Raw genomic sequence first — 17,794 nt, forward strand, 5'->3', positions numbered from 1 at the left:
AGTCCCTCCCGCTGCCTGGTGCAGGGGTCAGACAGGCTGGCCTTGGCAGAAGCCAGCCCTTCTCCTGTGTAAATGGAGAGAGGTCGGGGTGCTCCCTGCCTGAAGCCTCACTCACGCTGCCCTGCCTGGCACTCCCGCAGCCTGCTTGGTGGTCTGCTCGTGGTCTGAGCCCATGGCTGGCCTGGCAGGGAAGGTGGCCCAGCACGCACAGGGTCTTGGGGCTCCAGACCAAGCCCAAGAGGGAATTGGGGAGTGACAGGTGGGGAGAGGCCCAGGGCCTCAGCGTGCATGAAAATAAGAGGGAGTCCGGGGCTCCAGGCGTGTAGATGAGAGGTTGGACAGCAGCCGGTATTGCTTCAAGAGCCACCGTCGCCAGCCCTGCTCCCATGCTGGGTCCGTCCCTTCCTGATCCCTGAGTGTGCAGGGCTGGGGCGGTGTCCTGCCTCGGAGAGAGGCTGTTCCTCAGGGTGAGCACAGGGGGAGTGGGACAGAGCCTTCCACAGGGCTGGGAAAGACCTGTCCCTCCTCTGCGGTCCTCTGTCAGGTGGACACATGAGAGGGTGGCCCTGGTGGACGTGGCAGCCACAGAGATACAGGCACCAGGTGTCTGGGAAGGGGCAGGAAGCTCCTCAGAGGAGGGGACACTCTGCAGGTCGTGAATAACTTGCTGTTGGTTCAGAGACCCACGTCTTAAATCCCGTCTTTATGCCCTGGGTCCCCCGGCCTGGATCCATCTCCCCCGTCTCTGGGGAGGCCCTGGGTCCCCCGGCCTGGGTCCATCTCCCCCGTCTCTGGGGAGGCCCTGGGTCCCCCGGCCTGGATCCATCTCCCCCGTCTCTGGGGAGGCCCTGGGTCCCCCGGCCTGGGTCCATCTCCCCCGTCTCTGGGGAGGCCCTGGGTCCCCCGGCCTGGGTCCATCTCCCCCGTCTCTGGGGAGGCCCTGGGTCCCCCGGCTTGGGTCCATCTCCCCCATCTCTGGGGAGGCCCTGGGTCCCCCGGCCTGGTTCCATCTCCCCCGTCTCTGGAGAGGCCCTGCATCCTTCTCCCCCATCTCTGGCCTTCTGTCCCCAGCATCAGCGCCCACTAGCCGTCATTGCGCCGTCACGTGACAGGCCCTTGTTAATCTGCCCTCTCCCAGGTGGGCCCCCGTAGGCTGCAGTGCTGAGGGTCTCGCTCTCCAGTGCCCCCCTGCCCTGCAGGTGGGACTCTCATTGCTGTTTGGGTTCAAGGGCCATCTCACTTGTTTGGGCATCCAGTGCCAGTTGATCAATGTCCTTGTCCCTGAGATGGTCACACAGCTGTCATGCGTGGTCCCCACCAGTAGTGGAGTCTGTACAATCCCGGGAATCCCCCGTTCGGTCTCCGACCCTCGCCCTGTCAAGCAGCTGCCCACACACAAGCGGCCTCTCCTCACGCTCTGTGGGGCACACGGGGACCACGGGGCCCCCACTCACACCAGAGCCAAGGCCCTCACCCCTGTGCTCAGGATGTAGCTCCTCCTGTCAGCCTTCCTCCCTCTCCCCCTTGGTCCCTCCTCCCTCTCCCCCTTGGTCCCTCCTCCCTACCAGCTTCTTTCTCTCAGCTCTGCCATCCTTTCCATAAAATGGCAGCTTCCTTGACCCTCTCACTCTCCTCTGCCATGACCCAACGTAATGTGTTTCCCAAGTAGGGGCTTATTCAGATGAAAAAGAAAAACACCACTGGGGGAGCAGCAAATTAGACATTGCAGAAGAAAAGAGAAGGTGACTGAACTTGAAGACAGCCACAAAATTAAAGTGAAACAGAGAGAAGGACTGAAAAGTGGATAGAAATCACTGTGAAATACCAGGTGTCCTAACACGTGTGGCTGCAGCCCCAGGAGGAGCGGGGAAAGGAGGCAGACAGGGTGATGCTTACAGATGTCATGGCTCAGATTTCTTCATCAGTCCATGAAACTTACAGAAAGATCCAAATACTGCAACAAGCTTCAAGCCGAATAAACATACCAACGCAGGCCAAGGTCCGATTGCTGAAAGCAAGTTACATGAAGGCCCTTCCTTGCCACCCATCATCCTCGGAAGAGTGGGGCTCTGCTCCCCGTCTCTGCGTGCTGCCCTGCCATGGGAGCCTCATCTGTGCCAGTCGCCAGCTACCTCTTCCTCATGGGGACCATCGCTCAGCTCTTTCCAGCTTCCTTTAGATATAAAGACACAGGTATTTTAAAAGTGAAGGGACGGAGGAGGATGTACCTTGTAAAACAGTCGTTAGAAGAAAGTAGGAGTGGCTGTCTGCATGTCAGGGTGCCCTCAGAACGAGCGTGTTGTCGGGGCTGAGAGCGGTCATTTCACGATGATAAGGGGTCAGCTTTTTGGGAGGACATAGCGGTCGTGAACGTGCGCCCCTAATATCAGAGCTCACTTAGACGCGAAACCGACAGGGCTGGGTGGAGACGGGAGGCTCTGCACCGCAGGAGGACCCCACAGTCCCCTCCTGCTGGCCGATGTGCAGGTGGGCGGAGGGGCAGTGCCCGCCACCCGCACCCTTGGCATCTGAGGCTCTCCAGCCAGAGCAGTGGTGGACGCAGCCACCGACAGAAGGCACCCGCGTGCTGGGCCCTGGCCAGAGCAGGCCTCTCCGTCTGTCCGAGCCTGGCTGGGATACCTGAGAGCGAGGCACACATGGGCTGGCGGAGGGGCAGCCGTCATGCTGTAGTTCTGTTTCCACCAAAACGTTTTTCCACATGAGGGCGAAAGCCTCAGCAAAACCTCCTTCAGGCTCCCGAGGGCCGCGGCTGCCTCCACACCTGGCTACCTTCTTCAGGCCCCCGAGGGCTGCGGCTGCCTCCACACCTGGCTTTCAGGGTTTTCCAGGTGGGTCCGGAGCGGCCTGTGCTTAAGGGCTCAGGTCCACCCGAGACTCTGCCTGGCGTGCGTATCTGGGCATCTGCACCTGGCTGCCGGGCACAGGCCGTGCCAGGCCTGTACGAGCTCTGGGGTTGTTCTCCCTTCTTTCCAGGGTTCCTCCCTGGCCCTGGGTGGTTCCAGCAAAACAGTCGCCAGGGCACATGAGTCTAGTTCCAGAAAGACCTTGCCCCTGCCTCTGAGAGATGGAAAGGATACAAACGCATTCTCTTACCAAAAAGAATTAAATTAGAAGTAAATAAAAAAGATATATGGAAAAGTCTCAAATATTTGGAAATTAACTTGTTTGTTAATAATCCCAAGTCAAAGAGAATTACAAGGTATTTTAAATTATGTGAAAAGCTAGAACCTTCAAAATCTGTGAGATGCCAAAATAGTCTGCACCCGCTGCAGATCGTACGGCAGCCTTCAGCGCGGGGAGCACGGCGCCCCCCGTCAAAGGAAAGGTGCCTCTCAGGGGAGGAAGCACAGGGGCTGGGCCGGGCCCCTCCCCTCAAGAAGCCGCTGTGTACTTGGTGCCTCAAAGTGCCCGACAGTGACGTGGGCCTGGCAGCCCATTCTTCAGCACACACGCTTCCCAATTACGTCTCTGAGATGTCTGAAACCAGGGTGCGGGGCACCAGGGCGGCTGAACAGGCCACCCAGAGGCAGCCGTGCTGTGTCTGAGGCCCCGAGGCTGTTCCTCCAGTCACCCTCACGATGAGGGTTTCCGGAAAATGGGACAGGATAAGGCTTGGGAGTGAGAGTGGGTCTCAGGCCTGCTCTCGGGGAACTGTGGCCTGGCAGGAGCTCCCGTGCCTCTGCTGCCGCCCTTCAGCTCAGTGGGCTCCAGCCCCGGCTTCCCTGCCTGGGCACGGACCTGATCTCTCCCACAGCCACGGCCCTGAGTGAGGCTTTAGGCCAGGTGGATGGTGGAGGGCAGCCTTGCCTGGCAGGTAGGAGGGTCCAGGATGCCCCAGATGCCCAGTTAGCTCATGCCAAGCTGGTGCCAGGCGGGCCTGTCCTCCCTGTCTTGTCACTGAGACTGGGCTGGCAGACCTCGGAACGCTGCCCCCTGGGCCACCACTGGCTGCCTCAGTGGCCTGGTCTTTGCTGGGGGCCCTCGGGGTGTCTGTGTGGCGGGGCCTGACTTCCCCGGGGTCCTGGGCAGAGCTGGGCAGCAGCGGCCAGCCAGACAATCACCCTCCTGCCCCAGCCAGGTGCCCTCTGGCTGTCAGAGGGAGGAAAATTTAATTTTTACAAGATTGATGGTATTGGAGCAATATTTTTAGCTGAGTCTGGTTCAAATAATAGGCCATTAATTGAAAAAGGAAATTGAAATGAATTTATCTTGTACATAAATGCTGTCACGGGTATTAATAGGGATCAGAAAATAGTGGCCTGTTCCCAGAAGGCGATTGAACCTGAAGCTGCGCCTGGCGCGTGAGCCTGTGGGGGGGACGCGGCTGAGGGGCTTTGAGCGACCTGCAGGTGCCCATTGCCACCAGGAGATGGCGCCCACGCAGCGCCTGAGAGTTTCCTACCGGAGATGATCAGAAGGCAACTTTTAATGCTTAAAAAATGAGGATATTAGGCTGGGCGCGGTGGCTCACGCCGGTAATCCCAGCACTTTGGGAGGCTGAGTCTGGGATGGACATGCACCGACTCCGCCAGGCGAGGTGGGCCTGGCTCAGGGCAGAAGGCCCCAGGAGGTGCCCAGGCTGAGCCCCGAGCTCTGCGCCCGCATGGAAAATGGAAAAGTGGCGAGAGCCAGGCTGGAAGACACCTGAGTGCCAGGCGGTCTGTGTGCCTCATCCCTGAAGCGCCTTTGTCAGAGCCCTTGCTCCTGGGTTCAGCCTGGTGTCCCTACCCCTGGGAACACATGTCCACCCACAGCACTGGAGACAGGGCTCAGAGCTAGCCCCGCCGTGGAGGTCTCGGTACCACGTTGGTACCCAGAGAAATTTCTTAGCCACCGCGGTGCATCCTCCCACACAGGCCTCGACACTGAAGAAGTGCCTGGGCGAGGCTTTCCCGGGCTGCCAAGTGCCTATTGATCCACAGCTCCAACAGCACAGAAATCCCGTGTCTTGTCTGCCGGGCACGCAGGGAGCTCCGAGAACACATCAGTCAGCGCCCAGAGAGCCGACGTCGGCCAGAGGACGCAGGGTAACGGCTTTCCTGAACTCCGCTTCCAAGAGGGTTCTGTGAGGAAGAGGTTGCAAATTCATTTTCGTTTAACGTCACCCGCATCTGGTTTCACCACAGAAGTGGAGCCCTGCAGTGGGAGGGGTGGGGGGCCTGTCACTGGGCTTTGCTGCTGATTTGGCCTACCTGGGAAGCCCAGAAGATGTATTTACTGTAGGGACTTGAGGCTTGCTTGGGGCCTGGTAGGAGCCAAGGCCACCCCATCCTCCCAGCTCAGCTTGGTGACTTACCATCCATGGCTCTGGTTCGCTTGTCACCCGCCCCTCCCAGAGAGGCTGCGTGGGGCTGCAGGCGCCTGAGTGTAGGTCCCAGCCTGTGTCCTGGGCTCTAGTCCCATTGAAGCCTTGTGGCTGGCTGGGCATGGGTCCCATGCAGACTGGTGGGGCCAGGAGGGCCTGGCGTGGGCACCTGCAGCAGCTTCTTCAAGGCCTCCCAGCACTGACCGTGGCCTCTCAAAGCTTCGGCTGCTTCAGCAGCTTTCCTGCTGGGAGCTGTGAGCACTGCTGGGGCCCATGCCCAGGACTGTCCTGACCGGACTGAAAGCCCTAGAGGGAAGCTGGCAGTGGGGACAGGGTGCAAGAGGAAAGACCCTCTCTCCATGCAGCTCCTTCATCCACCCACCTGGAGGAACTCCTAGAGGGAAGGTGGCAGTGGGGTCAGGGTGTGAGAAGGAAAGCCCCACTCTCCTCTTCATCCACCCACCCAGAAGAAGTTTGAAGAAACCATGCCTTTTAATGGCTTAAAGTTGGAGCAGAAGGGTTTATCTGCTGATACAATTAAGATAGCTTCGGGAGAGGGCTGAGAAGGTGTGGCCTGGCGGACACACTGCCTCCAGGGACACCCCTGCCCCCGCCAGCTGTGCCTGCTCAGAGAGTGCCTGCTCCTCGGAGGGTCCCCCCTGCTTGGGAAGGTACCTGCTGCACAGGACCCCAGCTGGAGTCAAGGAGTCAGCAGAAGAGGGGGTTGGAGGAGCGGCTGGGGACAGGAGGTGGCTGTGCGGGCTGCCCCACCTCGCCTCTTGCCTGAGCCCCTCTGTGGCCACATAGACAGAAGGAGGGGTTGGAGGTGCAGCCAGCCAGCTGGGCCAGGTGAGCCGGTCCTGAAGGGCACCAAGCAGGGTTGCCCCGGGCTCCTGAGAGGATTTTTCACATGCAGCAGCTGGAGACAGTTTGGAGGGGCCCAGGGCGGTGCAGACCCTTCCACAGCTGCTCAGGTGGCCCGGAGGCGTGTGCACCCTTCCCTATGCAGCAGGGCTCCACAGGCCTGGGCACTCAGCCCAGATGGTGCATGTGGGGAACCGTGGGACCCCATGTGCCAGGAGTCTCTGGGCAGACAGCAGCGACAGGGCTGTGTGGGGACTTGGGCAGGCCTGAGCCTGGGGTCCGATGACCTAGTTGGGTCTGGGGCAGCCACAAGCCGAGGCGTTGAGGAAGAGAGAGTGAAGTCTGAGCTCCTTGTGTAGGAGACCTCCGTGTGGAGTAGCCCCAGAGGCAGGAGGCTGCCTCAGCCAGGATGGCCCCATGCACTTGCTAAGCTGCGCCGCCTGCTCACTCAAGGCTCTTGGGCTCGGAGCAGAACTATGAGCCTGCAAGGCCTGCTGGGCAGAGTGGCCACAGCACGTGGCCGCTGGTCACCAACCGGGGGCTTACCCCTCTCCCACCCGCTAGCGCTGCCTTTGCACCTCGGAGGGCAGGTCTCTGCTGGCACCATGAGTGACCTGCAAGCACTGCCATGGTGGACTCTGCTCGCGCCTTGGTGGCTTCTAGGCTTTTCCAGGGGCTCTGGCCTCCTGCAGAGCAGGGTCTGCCTCCCCCGCGGCTGGGTCTGTGGAGAGTGAAGTGGGGCACAGATGCCCTTTGCAAGTGCTGTGCACGGCAGCTCACAGCCCCCACCCCCAGCTCTGTAGTCTGTAAGAGGCAGGCTCTCGGCATGGCCCCCAGGCAGTGGCCCTGGTGCTCTTGGGGTGGGGGGCCCCAGTACCCAGCGGTGGCCCAGGAATGAGAGGCCCGCTGCTTCCTGGGAGAGGCCCTTCTGCTTTCCCTCCTCCTCCTCTGTGAGCTCCCCCTTCCACTCTCGTTCTCCTAAATAAGACTTTAGGGAGAATTTATGGAAAATTGATGGAGTTTACGGATGTTCTTTGATCCAGAGAAGGGGAAGGAAAGGCAAACGCGTTTATGATGAGGAAGCTCATCTGCCTTAGGGCTCCAGCCCTGCCCTGGGGCTCGCTGCCTCCTCACCTGCCTGGGGGCAAGACAGTCCTGATGAAGTGAGAGGGGGCGAGATTGGTTTTCTGAGGGCACCGGGCCCTTCATGCTCCCCTAAATCACGGGCTGTCTCCTCAGCGGGCAGGTAATGACCTGCTCCCCGGCCCCAGCACCTGCAGTCCCGTGGGACGCGATGATGTGCGGCTGGGGCTGCAGTGAAGGTGAAACTGTCATATCGATCTTTTTAGCACTAAAATATGAGCCACTTTACTCCGCTCCCCGCTGCTGTGATGTGAAAAATAATAACTCGGATCCAAATTAAAAATATTGATCTCTGGAAGGTGTTGAAAGTAAATAAACACCTTCCGAAGTTTTTGGGTCAGCCGAGAAATGGTATTCAGCAATAAATGTGTCAGAGTCCAGGGTTCTTGATCTGTTTTTTCTTTGAATTGATTTTTCATTATTTACTTCCTAAAAGTGTTGGAATTTGGTCCTCCACTGTGAAATCCCAGTGTTTGGGCACATTATTTCTTTGGGGCTTATGAGGTGCTCCTAATCCACTCCCTTATTGATGGATTGATGTTTGACTCCATAAGCCTGCTTTATTTAGGACCTTCCATCATAATTTTTTGTACATTTAGGCTTGACTCTTTTATTTCCTTCTAACAGATGAGCTGACATTGGGCTATCAAACGGGTGGGAAAACAATTGCCATGAGGTTAATTTCATGGTCGGCTCCGTGCGTTCTGAGCAGACGGGTGTTTCCTGGCTGCAGGCCGGGCCTTGGATGCAGCCTTGACGCGTGTCGATCTGTTTACACACAGGGCTGAGTCCGCCGGCCCCCCGGGGGTGCTCATGGGTGCCCGGGTGTCTGCAAGCTGCCCGCAGCTGGGTGGTCTCTGGGCACGGATGCTCTAGGCCCTCTGGGCTCCAAGGAGGCTGGGTTGTATGTCTCTTGAGAAGCTTTCCTTTCGAAAGGCCACCAAGACCACCGAGACTGCTGAGACCGCCAAAGCCACCAAGACCGCCGAGACTGCCAAGACCACCAAGGCCGCCGGCTGCTCCCGGTGGCTCCATGCACCCGGCAGGAGAGTGGAAGGCGTCGGGCCTGGGGCAGTTTGAAAAGATAGGTGCCGCCAGCATCTGCGCTTCCTCGTGGGTGCTCAACAGGCTGCCTGGGAAGCTCCTTCTGCCATCACCTGGAGTCAGCTGCCGTCCACAGTGGAAGCTGCCAGCCACCAAGGCTACCGACCTGGGCCCTGGGGATGAGCAGCCCAGGAGGCGAAGATGCCTAGGTGGGTCCCCAGCTCTGCAGGTGCCACTCCCCACGCCAGTGTTCTCCAAACTTCCGGGGAGACCTGTCTGTGCTCCTGTAGGTGTCAGGCAGACTCAGAGGCACAGGGGTTCAGATTGAGGCCTGGGGCTGAGGAAGCAGGAAGTCCTGTCAGGAGCTGGAGCACTGAGAAAGGCACCTTGCTGAGAGCAGCCTTGGAAGGGTCCAGAACTGGAAAGATGGAGAGCTGCCATTGGCCCGTAGCTCTGGGGCTGGTCCTGGCCATCTAGCCATGGGACCATGGGCAGAGGGTTCCCTAGCTCTGGGTGAGGCGGGAGTGGTGGGCAGTGCTGGCCATGAGGTCCCTGTGGGGTGCATCCACGGACGCGGGTCTGGAGGCGCTGCTGTCTAAGCTGAGGCTTTTGAAGGATGACCGTGCCCAGGTTATCCAGTGTTCCTTCTCAGCGAGCAGCTCCCATGGCAGTCCATTCATTCAACATGCCCTGGTCCAGCTGCTGCACAGCCATGGGTATTCTGTGCTGAGCGCCGTGGCTGATGCACACCCACCGTCCCCTGCAGAGGAGACCTCTGCACGCAGGCCCACAGCAAGGGCCGGATCAGGAGAACAACCCACTTGGCAGGCGGCAACCTTGCCTGGCACTCACCAGGGCCTCCTCCCCAGCACTGTCCCGAGTCAGGTCTGCACGGCTTCATGGCTGCCTGCCCTGGGAGGTGGAGCATGGAGAAGGCCAGTGCCTCATCACAGAGCCAGATGCCCACAACAGGATCCAGTGCTGTCAGCTGGGCTCCAGAAACCTGAGGACATGCAGCCTGCAGCTCCTGACACATGACATGTGACATACAACACATGACACGCGGCATACTCCCTGTGACATGGCACATGACACGTGACACAACACATTCTCATGCTCCGCCGACGCGTGACCCACGGCACGTTCCCGCGCTCCGCCGACGCGTGGCCCACGGCACGTTCTGACGTCTGCCAATGCGTGACACACGGCACATTATAATGATGTAAATATTGATTATTGATTTAAGTGAAAATATTGAGAGGGTGGGGGTGAGAGATGGAGTGTGTGTGTGATATTGAGTGACGGGGAAAGATAGTAGAAAGTAGTTAAATCCTCTTCTTCCAGCATGGAAAAATTGAAAAATCAATGTTGAAAACTGGAAAATCAAGAAGTGGCAATATAAGCTTTAGAGGTATGGAGATAAATACCAAAAGAAAACAATCAAAAGAAAATAATTGCCTCTGGGAACTAGAAGACTGAAGTGGACAGGAGCTACTGTTTTCATAGTGTGCCTTGCAGAACTCGTGTGTGTGTGTGTTACTAGCTTTTAAAAAACAAAATTCCAGGAAACTTCTTAGGAGGAAGAGACTCCTTCTGTTGATGGTGACATCAAACAAGACCTGCAGGAGGAGGTAGCACTGACAAGAAGGTGGTGTGCCAGTTTGTGATCTGGTGCGGTGAGGCACCTGTGTCAGCAACAGGTGGGAGTGGCTCTGGTGTCTGAGCAGAGGCTCTGGTGTCTGAGCAGAGGCTGTCTGGATGCCATTCACGGTGAGAGAAGAGCCTAGAATCTTGACTGTCCTTTGAGTATCAGGTAAAGAAATTTGAATGTGATTAGGTAGTCAGTGGGGACCATTACAGAGTTCAGGGAGAGAGGTGAGGCAGTCAGAACTGGGGGAAGATGGAGAAGGGACAAGTGTGTTGTTTCAAACGTAGAGTCCTCTGATATCTACCTTTTAAATTCTTATTGAAGTAAATGCACAGAGAGGACCAGAAGTGGTGATCCATATTGGTGCACATTTATTTTTTTGACTCTGATTCCTTTAAGCCTAAAACTAGGGCAGTGTCCCATACTGAGCACTAAAGAGAAGTAGGGTCAAACCCAGGAGGGAGGAAAACCAGATCCCTGCACCTTGGCCAAGATGAGGATGCCGGATGGAGCATAGCCAGTCCTGGAATGAGGCCTGCATCTCTCCCTTGCACAATGCCCCCACCCACAATCCAGCCAGGTCTCTCTGTGTCCCCAGCTGCATGCTCCCACCTCTTCGTGATATGGTTTCAAAAACACAATCCAGCACCATGTGTAAATTGTTTGATGCTTGAGATCAACTTTACTGAATTGCCTACATTGAAAGTGATGAGGACAATACCTCCTTCAGGAAGAAAAAGGCAAAATGAAGTGCTTTCATGAATAGTCAGAAGGGTCTTACTAACATAAAAATATTTTGATTATGTCTTCAGAATCTCTTTATGTAGTTAGTGGCTTGTAAGCTGTCAACTTGTAAATGATGCCGTTGGAAATTGAAATGTAAATAACATTACCATTTATAATAGCATCAAAAATATGAAATATTTAGGAATAAATTAGGTCAAGATGTGTAAGACCTGTATACTGAGAACTATGATATATTGCTCAGAGAAATTAAATAAGATCTAAATAAATGGAGAGATATACTATGTTCATGGATCAGAAGACTCAATCTTGTTAAGATGTCATTTCTCCCCAAATTGATGTAAAGATTCAGTGCATTACTAATCAAAATCTGAGCAGACTTTTTTTTTTGGTAGAAATTAAGCTGGTTCTAAAATGTATATGTAAATGTAAAGGAATTAGAATGGGCCAAAACAACTTTGAACATGAATAAAGATGGAGTCCTTATACTACCTGATTAAGACTTCTTTGAATCTCAATAATTAAATCAGTATAGTATTGGCATAAAACCAGATAAACAGATCACAGAACATTATGGAGAGTCTAGAAAGTGGCCCACTATTGATCTTTGTCAGAGGTATCAGTGGACTTCAGCAGTGAGTGAATGATCTTTTCCACAAAGGGTGCTGTAGCAATTAGAGGGCCGTTTGCAAAAAACTCACTTCAATTGTTACTTGAAACCACATGAAAATTTAGCTTGAACTGGATCATAGACCTAGCGTAAGAGCTAGAACCATGCAGCTTCCACAAGATCACACAGGACTTCTTTCTTTAAATATGACACCAAAAGCAGAAACCACTATAAGAGGAAACCAGTCAGTTGGACCTATGAAGACGACCGTGGCAAGCGCTGGGGAGGCGGTGGTAGCACTGCAGCCGTCGTGTTAGTGCTGGAAATGTAAAACATGCGAAAACATGGAGGTCTTAAAAAAAACGTTGAAAATACACACACCGTATCACCCAGCCGTTTCCCTCTTCAGTATTTACTTAAGAGAAATGAAAGCACATTCCACACTAAGACTGAATGTTCATAGCAGCTTTATTCAGAATAGCCAAAACCTGTCAACAGCCCAGATAGCCACAGCAGGTGAGTGGGAACAGGAGGGGACAGTCTGTGTACACCGTGGTGTGTCAGCTGTCGCAGTAATTATGGTGGGCAAAAGAATCCAGACCAAACCAAAAATGCATTCTGTATGATTTCATGTATATCATATTCTTAAAAATGCAAACAAGTCTGTAATGACAGAACACAGATAGTGGTTTCCCGGGGAAGGGGTTGTGGTGGGGGCTGGAGGGATTCCAGTGAGCACTAAGGAGAAGCCAGGTCAAGCCCAGGAGGGGAGCACGGTAGATCCCCGCACCTTGGCCGAGGTGAGGATGCTGGACGGAAGGCAGCTGTCCCTTCCACACTGCCCACCCCACCCGCACTCCAGCCTGGCCGCTCTCTGCTCCCACCCTTTCATGCTGTAGTTTAGCAAACACAATCCAGAGCCAAGTGTAAATTGTGTCAAGGGGCGAAGGGACCCAGGGAACCTTCTGGAGCGACGGGCATGTTAGTCTCCTAATTGTGGTGATGGTTTCACGTGTGGATGTGTCAGGACTCATCCAGTTACACGTCACATGGGTGCAATTCTGTCAGTGCCACTTACACGTACCTTAGCACTCTAGAAGGAAAATCTAGTCTTGTGGTGGATGGCTTGTGAGGGGTCAAACTGCAGATTTAATGGAAAAGGGAAGTACTTCCATCAGCAGCTGGCCCCTCGAACGGACTGTGCACACCACTGTGTGTCTCACAACTCAGGCAACTCGGCACGCCGCAGGACATAACGGCAGAGTGTGAGTAATTTTCCATTTTATATACACATATGCGTATGTTATATAAAATTGAAAAGACTTTCTTCTCGTTAAATCTTATTTTATTTTGACACAGGATGTCACTCTGTTGCCCAGGCTGGAGTGCAGTAGTGCAATCGTGGCTTACTGCAGCCTTGAACTCCTGAGCTCAAGTGATCCTGTGGCCTCAGCCTCCCAAGTAGCTGAGGATACAGGTGTGCATCACCACGCCTGGCTAAAAAAAAACTGTTTATAGAGACTGGGTGTCACCGTGTTGCCCAGTCAGGTCTCCAACTCCTGGCCTCAAGTGATCCTCTTGCCTTGGCCTCTCAAAGTGCTGGGATTACAGGTGCGAACCACTGTGCCCTGCCAAAAAGACATTTTTAAGGTTAAGTAAGGCTTTGTTGATTTTGAATGTAACATTATTCCCACTCAATGAGTGATTTTGGTCGACGTTCACCTGTACTTTCTCTGCACTCTGAGCCGGCAGGTGCCACTTCTAGCTTCTGGCTGGGGTTGGTTTGCAGTGGAGTCTGTGCCTGTGGCAGCCGTCTGCATGACTTTGGGTCATTGCGCTTTCCTTGCCTTTTGGGGAGGGTCCCTGGTGCTCTGTGAGCAGATTCGCCCCTAGGGGTGAAGTCATCTCGCTCCTCTTCTGAGCCGTGAGCTGGGCAGGGCCGCGCTCACATCATTCCTCTCCCCCTGTCGCCGGGTGGGAAATCCGTAACAGGCTCTGTGGCAAAGGCTGGGCCAAGGTGCCTCGTGGGCAGCCGATCCATCAGGCGGCCGACAGGCGTGATCGAGTGCCGTGTCACACGCAGCCCAGGAAACAAACACGCCGCGCGAAAGGTATTGGTGAACGAACTGAAAAATTGTAAAGCTCTTAAGGACTTTCATGCTTGTTAGCATTTTTTGACAGAAAATCACTGAAGCAGTGAACATAAAGAAATAGCCATGGTTGATTCACAGTTTAGCTTGTTGTTCTGTTCATTTGGCCTCAGGTGATGTTTCACTTCCGGAGCCCCGTGAGCTGCTCCTTGCTCTGCCTGGCTTTCTTTCCTGTGCAAATTCTTGCGGGTCCCTCAGCTGTGCTCACCCAACCACAGCCTCCCTGGAGATGGGTTTTTATGATTTTGAAGGAGACCGAAGGAAACTGAATGAACAAATATTTTCTCCAAAGCCCGTCCAGGTTTGGCTTCAGATGCTGTGAGCCGTGTGTACATTTCTAGGCTTAATCCACAGAATGAATGTGAGCTTTTATGTCACAGCCTGCCCAGGACCCTGCTGTGTGCCTGGAGGGCACCTGACCTGCTCTTGAGGCTTCACTACCTGATGTCCCAAAGGGAACATCGTGTTTTTCAGTGTGTTCCTGAGCAGATGGGTGTCTACACAGACCTCGCCTGTTGCCCTGTGCGTTTGTGTGATGAGTTGGGGTGTGGCACACCGCTGTGTGGGGGTGGCTGGGCCTCTGAGTGCGCTCTCTCACAGCCACGTCTGCTGGGGCCCACAGCTCCCCATCAGCAGCAGCCCAGAGCTGAGCACAGAAGTGTGGGTGATTTTCATGAGTGCACCTTGCCATTTGGCTTGGCACCTGTTAGAACTGCTATGTGCTCTTTGAAAACCACCCATCCTTCTGTCCCAAGGAAGGTGACAAGCACGATGTTTTCCTGGGAGAAAGTGGCTCCCATCCTGGCCACACATCCCTGTCAGGGCAGCGTTTAGTGCATCCCACCTGTGCACGTAGAGATGCATCCTGCTGTCTTAAGTATCGGAGTCCCCGATGTAGGCTTGTTGGGGTGGCTCAGGTTTTCCCGTTGCAACTGAGGCGTTGAGCAGTCAGGGGCTGCCCCTGCCTGCCCAGAACTTTCCTGAAGTCGTGGCCTGGCAGCGCCCCGCCTGTGCAGGGCAGGTCCCTCAAGGCCAAGCCCTGTTGTGCATGAGGGCACCCCCAGACTGAAGGAAACGAAGCTGGAGCTTCAGAGATCATGCCCACCTGAGGCCTTCCCTCGCCTTTGCAGACACACCTGTGTTTCCAAAGAAGGGGGACAGACGGAGCACTTCACTTCCATCCCGAGAGTGTCTCCCAGACAGCGCACCCCGCAGCGGCCACTGGCTGACCCGTGGCCTTGAGAACACAGGAAAGCCCCCTCTTAGATTCACAGAAACGCCCTTCCTAGGAGTAAACGGATCCTGTGTTTTTCCCCTCGATTCTGTGTCGCTAATTGTTAATTATGACAAAGGAAAAGTGATATTAAGATTCGGGGTATTTGTTTCATTGTGTAATTTCTTCCTTGGTTAAAAGGGAAGAATGGGCTGGGTGTAGTGCTTCACACCTGTAATCCCAGCACTCTGGGAGGCTGAGGCAGGTGAATTGCTTGAGCTTAGGAGTAATCCCAGCACTCTGGGAGGCTGAGGCAGGTGAATTGCTTGAGCTTAGGAGTAATCCCAGCACTCTGGGAGGCTGAGGCAGGTGAATTGCTTGAGCTTAGGAGTAATCCCAGCACTCTGGGAGGCTGAGGCAGGTGAATTGCTTGAGTTTAGGAGTAATCCCAGCACTCTGGGAGGCTGAGGCAGATGAATTGCTTGAGCTTAGGAGTAATCCCAGCACTCTGGGAGGCTGAGGCAGGTGAATTGCTTGAGCTTAGGAGTAATCCCAGCACTCTGGGAGGCTGAGGCAGGTGAATTGCTTGAGCTTAGGAGTTCAAGACCAGCCTGGCCAACATGGGGAAACCCCATCTCTACTGAAAATACAAAAATTAGCCAGCTGCAATGGCGTGCACCTGTAGTCGCAGCTACTTGGGAGGCTGAGGCTGGAGGATCGTGTGAGCCTGGGAGGTGGAGGTAGCAGTGAGCCAAGATCACACCACTGCACTGCAGCCTGGGCAACAGAGCAAGATCCTGTCTCAAAAAAAAAAAAAAAAGAGAAGAATGATATAACCACATTAGTCCTTTACCAGGTTTGCCTTAAAACTGAGTCACTGTGTGCCTGGCCTTTACTCAGCGCTTCCTCCCATGTCGTGACTGTTATAATGCATCATTACTTCCTCACTATGATTCATCTAGGAACTTGGGGGAGTAATTCATAGTCAGGGATATTTATGTTTAAACCGACAGAAAGGGAGAGCCATTTGAACACATTATTCCATGTTTTCACTGGTTTTAAATCTGATTTCTGCTGGCTGGGGGAAACTTGAGGAACTGTGAAGTCATCGTAGGCAGTAGGGAGGTAACGGATAAGGGCCTTTCAAGCATGCAGTGAAGAGACACCAGCTGTACAGCTCCCTCCTGTATGGAAAAGGTGGAATTTAGACAGTTAAAGTATTAAAGTATACATCACTGGGTTTGAAAACAGCCACAAAAAAACCCCTGTCGGATCACCCAAAACCGCTGGCCCCGTGGCGCACCATCCCGAGGCTGCCGACTTTGCAGTGGGGCTCTCTTTCCTTCTGGAGTGCAGCAGCATCTGGAATTGTCTGGGAAAACCCTGAAGGATGGCCCACACCGAGCCGAAACATCTTTCAAACGGAAATTGTTACACTGTGCTCTTCATCTTGAAATTAATGTTTGGTTGTCAATTTTTATTGCTGACCTAATGGATGAAGTCCAGCAATTGCAGCTGTCCCCTTAAAGCGGCCCCCAGCGTGTGCTGTGCAGACCTTCTCGGCAGGCTACCCACCCACCTCATCCGTAAGTGGACTCGGGTAGAGAAAGATATCTGTGCATTGAGAGCTCGTTGGAGATAACTTGAGTCATAATGTGTACTGAGTGTGCTGGGAATCATAGGAGGGTAAAGGTGGTTTTTAAAAAAGTTATTTTCATTAATTCCTCTCACCCCCAACCCCCTCTGCCACCTGGGACAAAAAAATGGCAGGGTCCTGCTGGATGCCGCTTTCCAAGCTGGGGCAGACCCGCCAGTGTTGAGCAAGAGGGAGGTTTCATCTGAGGCTGGCTGAGTTTTATATATCTATTTATGAGATCCAATAATGTAATGATGTGCTTGTCTAATAAATGCTGCTGTACAAGCTCAGGACAGCAGACGTTTCCAGTATGACCTGGATTGTCTAAGCCGCAGCCCCTTTTGGTTGGAGCTCGGCTGTTTAATAAATGTCGGCTGTTCTTCCAACCATCATAATTATTTAAAGGGGCTTCAAAAGAGAGAGAACAAATCAAATCAAGCCATTACTGTTGAAGCTCGTTCTGGAGTTAAGTGTGTTTTTAAAACTGTGGGCCTTGTGCAGAGGCTCCTCCCAGTTTTCATCTATTATCACAATAATTGAGTTTGTAGCTGGAATTAAATTTATCAAATTGCGTTATCCTCTTTAGAAATTGGATAGGCATGCTGGCAGGGCGAGGCAGAAGTTAATCTGCTTTGCTGAAGCCTCCAGTGGCCCTGCACAGCGGGGCTGAAGAGGCCCAGACAGCTTCCTGTCACCCCGGACACGATGTAATTTCTCCTCAATCCCTTGTGCAAATAATGACATTTGAATCGAGCATTAACAGGCTTAATTACTTTAAAATTGTCATTTTAATTTACACTGATATAGTATTGATCATACAAGCAGAGATTAAGCTGTTCAGTGGAGCAGATGATGGGGAATTAAACATTAAAGGGTCCTCAGGGGGCCGTGTGCGCTGCCCGGCGCGAGCCGGAAGAGGGATGATATTTCTCGGTAATGAACTGGCGGCATGCGGGGACATGAATCTTGGGCTCTTGGAAAAGGGGAAATAATGGGGTTTGGGAGGCATTTGCAGGTTATTCATTCGCCGCCATGCACCAATTCTCCAGTGATTCATCCGCCTCACCAACATTTATTTATCCAGCAAATTCCGGAGCTTTGACCTTTTTGCTAAGTACATTGAACATAAGTTGGAGTGGAGATCTTTCAAGTGTAACTTTTACAAGTATTTGTTATTTTTCCTTATTTCTAGGCAACATTAAACAAAGTTATTCAGTTTTTTGAGTGTACTGGAGTCTGCCGGCCTTGCAGGGTTGGTGTGGTGGTGAGGGACTAATGGGCTCCTGCAGCCCAGCCCCACACTTGACTTTTGAAAATTCCAGTGGCAGATCCCAGGCTCAGGTGTCACTGATCCTTTCTTAGGTGAAATGACACGAGAGCCTCACGTTCCTGCCATGGGCTGATGGCCTCGGCCTC

The 17,794-nt window shown here is 53.8% G+C and overlaps 1 protein-coding gene across 7 annotated transcripts in view, besides 1 other annotated feature; it reads left to right on the forward strand.

Annotated features, from left to right (window-relative positions):
* INPP5A (inositol polyphosphate-5-phosphatase A) overlaps positions 1–17,794 on the forward strand; it is a 245,694-nt gene that overhangs the window by 112,722 nt on the left and 115,178 nt on the right. The window lies entirely within an intron of this gene.
* Positions 15,252–16,451: an enhancer, noted in NCBI's record as "BRD4-independent group 4 enhancer chr10:134479264-134480463 (GRCh37/hg19 assembly coordinates)". NCBI's record gives its function as "activates an origin of replication core promoter dependent on BRD2, P300/CBP, MED14 and CDK7 cofactors, and independent of BRD4, by STARR-seq in HCT116 cells {active_cell/tissue: HCT116}" and the evidence as "EXISTENCE:reporter gene assay evidence [ECO:0000049][PMID:35650434]".

Source organism: Homo sapiens, chromosome 10 (assembly GCF_000001405.40).
Source record: "Homo sapiens chromosome 10, GRCh38.p14 Primary Assembly".
Lineage (NCBI taxonomy): Eukaryota > Metazoa > Chordata > Mammalia > Primates > Hominidae > Homo > Homo sapiens.